The following is a 6380-nucleotide window of genomic DNA, read 5'->3' as shown; positions in this document are numbered from 1 at the left end:
ATGTTTCAAGTATTCCATAGCCACCTGCGCCTGGTGGCTGCTGTCCTGGACAATATATACAGAAAGAACAGTGTCATGAGCACAGAAAGTTCTATCAGGGCTGGACACGGTAGATCACACCTATAATCCCAGCACTTTGGGAGGCTGAGGCAGGAGGATCACTTGAAGCCAGGAGTTTGAGATCAGCCAGGGCAACAAAGTGAGTCCCCATCTCTACAAAAAAAGGAAAAGAAAATTAGCCGGGCATGGTGACACATGGCTGTAGTCCCAGCTACTCGGGAGGCTGAGGTAGGAGGATCGCTGGACCCAGGAGGTTGAGGCTGCAGTGAGACAAGATTGCGCTCCAGCTCCATCAAAAAAAGAGTCGAGATTTTTTTTTGTGACAGAGCATGACCCTGTCTCAAAAAAAAAAAAAAAAAAAGAAAGAAGTTACATTGTGTTAGAGGAAAGCCCTGATTTTTTTTTTGAATTAAAGATTCTATTGGTGTTTCTTGCGTAAAAACAATGACACTATTTGTCAAACCATTTAGAAAACACAGAATAGCACAAAAGAGAGTAGAGAGGGACCCAGGTTTGGCTGCAGGCTTAGCAGCTTGCTGCACCCCAGGGCCCTCAGCACAGACCCAGGATGGGCAGAGGAGTAGACGCAGATGTTCTGCAGCTACTGACGTTGCCAAGGCGGGGCAGAGGATGCCAGGCAGGAGGAGGACCAACACCTGAAGCCCCTGCCCCAACACTTGAGGGACCCTGTGAAGGGCTCGAGGCCCTGTGGGTGAAGGGAAGTCTTAGTCAAGACCCAGACAGAAAAATGGAGTCCAATGATGGACGTGCATGCCAAAATCTCCATATAAAGGTGGCAGAAGAGCTGGAAAGCCAAGCCCCAGGGCAGTGAGAGCAACACAGATGAGCAACAGCAGGAAGTCCCCACTGCCCCTGGGCTAGCAGGACAAAGGGAGGAACTGTGTTGTCTGAGCCCCCAGCTGTGAGCTGAGGCTGCCTATGGGGAGCTGGAGCCACAGAGGAGACTCACCCACTGCCGACTGAAAGAGGGGGACACACCTGGGTGTCTCCTCCCTCCCTCCCCTCAACCTTCCTCTGGGGCCTCCCCTTGGCAGAGCACAGAGGGAAACGAGTGGGAGGAAGGGTGGCCTGGGAAACGTGGTTCTCAGGGGAAGAGAAAGGGAGGGTGTGGGAGCCAGCAGTCTCCTGTGTTCTGTGCTCGAGACAGAAATGTGTCCCCCCAAAATTTCTATATTAAAGCCCTAACCCCAATCTAACCGTGTGTTAAGACTGAACTTTTTGGAGGTAAAGTTCAGTGAGCTCATAAGGGTGAGGTCCTCATCTGATAGGGCTGGTGGCCTTGGTGGTGGAGACCTTGCTCTCACGTTAAGCACAGACCCAGGAAAGGTCACATGAGCCACAGCGAGGGGGCAGCAATATGCAAACCAGGAAGAGGGTCCTCACCAGAACCCTGCCACGCTGGCACCCTGATCTCGGACTTCCAGCCTCCAGAACCATGAAAAAATGCATTTCTGTGGTTTAAGCCACCCAGCCTATGGCATTCTTTTATGGCAGCCTGAGCCAACTAAGCCATATTGCAATTCTGATAATACAACCCCACAAACTCGATGTGCTGGGAGGAGTCATGGTCCCAGCTGTGGTTTGGACATGGCTAGTTTGTCCCCAAGTCTCGTATTGAAATCTGATCCGTGGTGTTGGAGGTGGGGCCTGGTGGAAGGTCTTTGGGTCATGAGGGCAATGCCCTTCTTCGAGGAGAGAGCTCTGCTCTGTTAGTCCCCGTGAGCACTAGTTGTTGAAAAGAGTGTAGGACCACCTCCACCCATTGTTACTGCTCACTGTCTCTCCCTGTCTCTCTCTCGCTTTTCCATTGGTTGGGTGGAGAATTGCTGCACTCAGTCATTGTGTGATTTCTGCACACATCAGCTCTCCTTCCCTTTCTGCCATGAGTAGAAGCAGCTTGTGGCCTCCCCAGAAGCGGATGCTGGTGCCATGCTTCTTGTACAGCCGTGGAACTATAAGCCTAATAAAGCTCTTTTCTTTATAAATTACCTGCCTTCAGGTATTCTTTTATAGCAAAGTAAGTGCACTAAGACCATCCCCAAAGATGTCTGCATTCTGACCCCCAAAACTGTAACTATGCCACCTTTTAAGGCAAAGGGGGCCTTGCAGGTGTAATTAGGGTAAGGAGCTGGAGGGGGAGACTCTCCTGGATTATCTGGGTGAGTACAGTGTAATCACAGGGATCCTAATAAGGGAAGTGGTGGGCCAGGAGGTCAATGTCAGAGAGAGACATCGGAATGGCAGCAGAGGTTGGAGTGATGAGCTTGCTGGATTTGGAGATAGAGGAGGGGCCATGAGGCAAGTAGTACAAGCAAACTCTAGAAGCTGGAAAAGACGAGGAAACGGATTTCTCCCTTAGAGCCTCAGAAGGAACACAGCCCTGCCAACACAATTTTAGCCCGATGAGACTCCATTTCAGACTTCCAGAACCGTAAAAGAGGAAATGTGTGTTGCTTTAAGCTAAGTCGTGGTCAGTTGTTACAATGGCAAGAAGAAACTCATACACAGGCAAATTCTGGTAAGCCTGCAAGTCCGCGCTCTTCACCAGGTGTGGTGCTCCATCTCTACCCTGGAAGAGCCACAGACTAGCAGAAAAGGAATGTCTTTCTAGTTCTAGGTCCCTAGAACCTTGTATTCCATGGGCGTTTGATGCTTGCTTGCTCAGCAGGTGAACAGCTCAGCATGTGAGCAGCTCAGCATGTGATCCTCCAGCAAACCTGGGAGGCAGTAGTGGCAGGGAAGAGTGGCTAAGGTGACATAGCCAAAAGGCATGCAGTCCGGGGCTGGAAGTCCTAGCTCACCTACCTACTAGCTGTGTGACCTTGGGAAAGACACTCACCCTCTCTGAGTCTTAGCTGTTCCATTGGTTAGGGGGGATTACAGTCATTCCTGCCCCACATGGCCGCCATGAGGTGAGGCCTCCTCTCGTTGATGGGCATTCCTTGGTTGTCTGCTATGTGCCCAGGTCTAGGTGCTGAGGAGACAGTGCTGTTCCAGAAACCAGACTCGTTCCTGGCCTTTGGGGAGCCCGTGCTCTGGCAGGTAAAATGAAAGAACATTGTCAAACACTAAGCACAGTACTAGGTACACAATAGGTGCTCAAGCAATGCTGCCCTTGACCTCCTCAATGAAGAAACAACAGAGGTTTCAGAGGCTTGCCAAAGTCAAAGCGAGCTGGTGCAAGTCATTGTTTGAATTCAGGTTTTCTAACTGCAGTCTCTGGGGCAGCGGCCTGTCGGGGCAGAGTGGTAGAGGGTGGGAGCAGGTAAGGGAGATGGAGCCTGGAGAAAGGGCTTTGCTCACATTTTTAATGCAATTTGGCCCTTAGGCTCTGGTTGGATTTTAGCTTACTAGGGACTGGGTTGACCCAATAAGCCATGAGACAGATTCTGTGTAAGGAGCTAAGGACTTGGTGTGAAGACTCCCCCAAGGTCTACAGGACACTGACAGCCCTCCTGGGGCCAGTGGGGAGGCCCAGCTCACGGCCACATTCCTGGATGCAGCCCGAGCTTCCCGGGACAGGGTTTTCCAACATTTCTCCAGCTCTCCATGCTCTAGGGTCACCAGGCCTCGGAGCTCTTGGGAGATCCCTGGAAATGCCCCAAGAAGAAGAAAGAGATTTGCCTGTCCCATGCCCCGACGGGCCTGGCTCCCTGAGAGAGGAAGGCCTGATGCCAGAAGCCTGGGGTCAGAGTCCGGAGTTGGGCACTTGTAGTGGGGCAAGGTCCCCTGGGCTGAGGGCCAAAGCTGGTCCTCAGATGTGTGTGCGTGTGTGTTTGTGTGTGTGTGTGCCAGCTCAGTTTTCAAAATCAGAAACAAACAATCACATTAACCCGCAGTCTCCGGCTTCTTTCGAAAATAGAATTTGGGTGGGGTGGGATCAGACAGCCCCGGGACCGCATCCTGGCAAGGTGGCAGCAGGCAGAGTGGTGGCTGCCCTGGGGGGTGAGAAACTCGAGGTGTCCTCCTCGTCTCCCACAGTCCCCAACACTCCCTGGGCCTCCTGGCTTCTTCATGTGACCGCCTGGCCTTTGAGTGTCTGGTTCTTCTAAGGTAGTGTTTCTCTACCACAGTGATTTTGCCCCCAGGAGGCATTTGCCAATGTCCGGAGACATTTCAGTCGTCCCAAATAGTGGGGACTGCTACTGGCATCTGGGTGGGGGGAGGTCAGGGTCCTGTATTGTACAGGGCAGCCGCCAACAGAGTTACCCAGCCCCAGTGTCAACAGTTCTGCAGCTGAGAAACCCACTGTAGGGAGGCAGAGGTCTTAGTTTGAGTTCCCCTGAAAGCAGAGCGCGAGTCAAGGCTTGGGTGCAGATAGTTTTAGGAAGGTAACCCAGGGAGAGGAGAAAGATGCATAGAGAAAGGAGAGAGCTGAAGGAAGGGTGCTTCCTGGGCTGGTTGGCTGTGGGCCTGTGGGGCCCCATCCACCGGGGGCCTTTGGAGACCTGCGCTGGGCCATCTCCAGGTGACCCACAGAGGAACAGGTGGGGCATTTGCCACTGCTTCCTGCCTGTTGGTGAGGGTGTCTGTTCCTGCCTGGCTGCTTGCCATGAGGCCCATCTCTAGCCCGCAGGTCTCTAGCCCTCGGACAACGGAGGCAAGTCAGGGGAGAGCTGGGTAAGGGGTCAGCCTTGGCACCTGCTGCTCATTCCATGAACTCTGCAACCTGGCCTGTGCCTGCCCTGGCAAAATCCTAACTCAGATATCAACGGTTCTTTCATCTTCCAACCAAGAAAACGTGATTCAAAGGAGAGAACATTCCTCATCGGCCTCCAGCTTTGCAGAGCAGCGAGGGCTAGTGCTCCCGAGGCCTTGCTGGGGTCCTTTAACCACAAAACATGGCCTTTGCTGACCTTGAATGCGAGCAGATAGAGGAGAGCCAACCTCACGGATTCAGCTGGTTGGCACAAACAAAAGGAAGGCTTTGCAGGGGCTCCGGCTGAACAAATCCAGAGCTTTCTACTTGGAAATTCCAAAGGTGCTAAGGGAGCTGGGCAGCATCCTGCCTGTACTGCCCATGCCAGTGTGAGCTGGAGTCCGGCATATGGGGCACAGCCAGCAGGACGTCACCATCCGCCCATCACAGCGCCACAGGCCCTTGCACCAAACAGTGCCAACTGGGACTTCATTGCTGACTCAGTAACAGGGCCTCCTCTAGGGCTCCACAAGGGCTGAATGAAGGGAAGCCAGCACCAGGACTGGCCAGACTTGCCCGACAGTTCAACTTTTTACCCCAGGGTGTCCCCCGAAAACCCAGATCTTCTGAGGTGGGAAGGATGTATTGGCAGGAGGGCAATGCCTGGGGCCCTGAAGGAAGATTTAGGTACATGAAGGAAGATTTAGGGCCTCGGAGGAAGATTTAGGTCCCCAAAGGAAGATTTAGGGCCTCCAAGAAGATTTAGGGTCTTGAAGGAAGATTTAGGGCCCTGAGGGAAGATTTAGGGTTCTGAAGAAAGATTTAGGGCCCCCCAAAAGATTTAGGGTCCTGAAGGGAGATTGAGGGTCCAGAAGGAAGATTCTCTGGGTGGAGATGCTGACCCCCAGGGCTGGGGCAGGTGTCAGGAATGTGTTCAGGTGTGAGTCCACATCGGGTGTCCACAGTGAGGCTTCCAAGTTCACAGCTGGCAGCTGGGGCTGGAAGCCCACCCCTCAGGAAACCACGCCCCCTCTGTCCAGCGGCCTACGATGGTAATGAAGACCCATGGGCTTGTGGATTCAAGCATCCCTCACTTTTCATGTGTCTTGTGGGCCTTTCCTGCCTGCCCAGGAGAAAAGGTGGCTCTCACCATCAGGCTGCTTTAGCTTGTGGATGTCCCAGAAACAGTTCAGGGTTGCTCTGTTCAACCACCTTTGTCTTCAGACACCCAGGATACCAGGAGCTTCACCGCCGGGCTCCCCGGGGTCTGTACAGTGTGATGTCCCTTATCCAAGAAGATTATAGGCAAGGGGTGGGCCTGCCCCTGGTTGTGAATGGTGGTAGCTGTGCCTCTGGGTGTGGGGATCACAGTACACATGGACTTGGGGACCCGGTGAGCCTGGCCATGGGCGACCCAGGAAAGTGATTTAACCAGGCTGGGCCTCACTATGAAATGAAGGCAATAATAATAATAATACCTCCCTTATAAGGTTGCTGAGAGGATTAAATAAAATAATGCACAAGAGTGCTGAGCACGGACCCGGCATGGACTGAATCAATTGTATCCATTAGTGATAAAATGATGCCTTTAAGAAGAATATTGAGACAGGCTGGAATCGGGCTTCCTGATGGTCTTAGCCCAACCTCCTGTCTGACACTT

At 52.9% G+C, this 6380-nt stretch overlaps 2 annotated features.

Annotated features, from left to right (window-relative positions):
- Positions 203-830: an enhancer, noted in NCBI's record as "H3K4me1 hESC enhancer chr20:56475611-56476238 (GRCh37/hg19 assembly coordinates)". NCBI's record gives its function as "activates a minimal SCP1, AML or CMV promoter by ChIP-STARR-seq in primed H9 embryonic stem cells {active_cell/tissue: H9 hESC(primed)}" and the evidence as "EXISTENCE:reporter gene assay evidence [ECO:0000049][PMID:30033119]".
- Positions 831-1460: an enhancer, noted in NCBI's record as "H3K4me1 hESC enhancer chr20:56474981-56475610 (GRCh37/hg19 assembly coordinates)". NCBI's record gives its function as "activates a minimal SCP1, AML or CMV promoter by ChIP-STARR-seq in naive and primed H9 embryonic stem cells {active_cell/tissue: H9 hESC(naive and primed)}" and the evidence as "EXISTENCE:reporter gene assay evidence [ECO:0000049][PMID:30033119]".

This window comes from Homo sapiens, chromosome 20 (assembly GCF_000001405.40).
Source record: "Homo sapiens chromosome 20, GRCh38.p14 Primary Assembly".
NCBI lineage: Eukaryota > Metazoa > Chordata > Mammalia > Primates > Hominidae > Homo > Homo sapiens.
The sequence above is the reverse complement of the archived record's forward strand: the minus strand, read 5'-3'. Positions and strand labels throughout refer to the sequence as shown.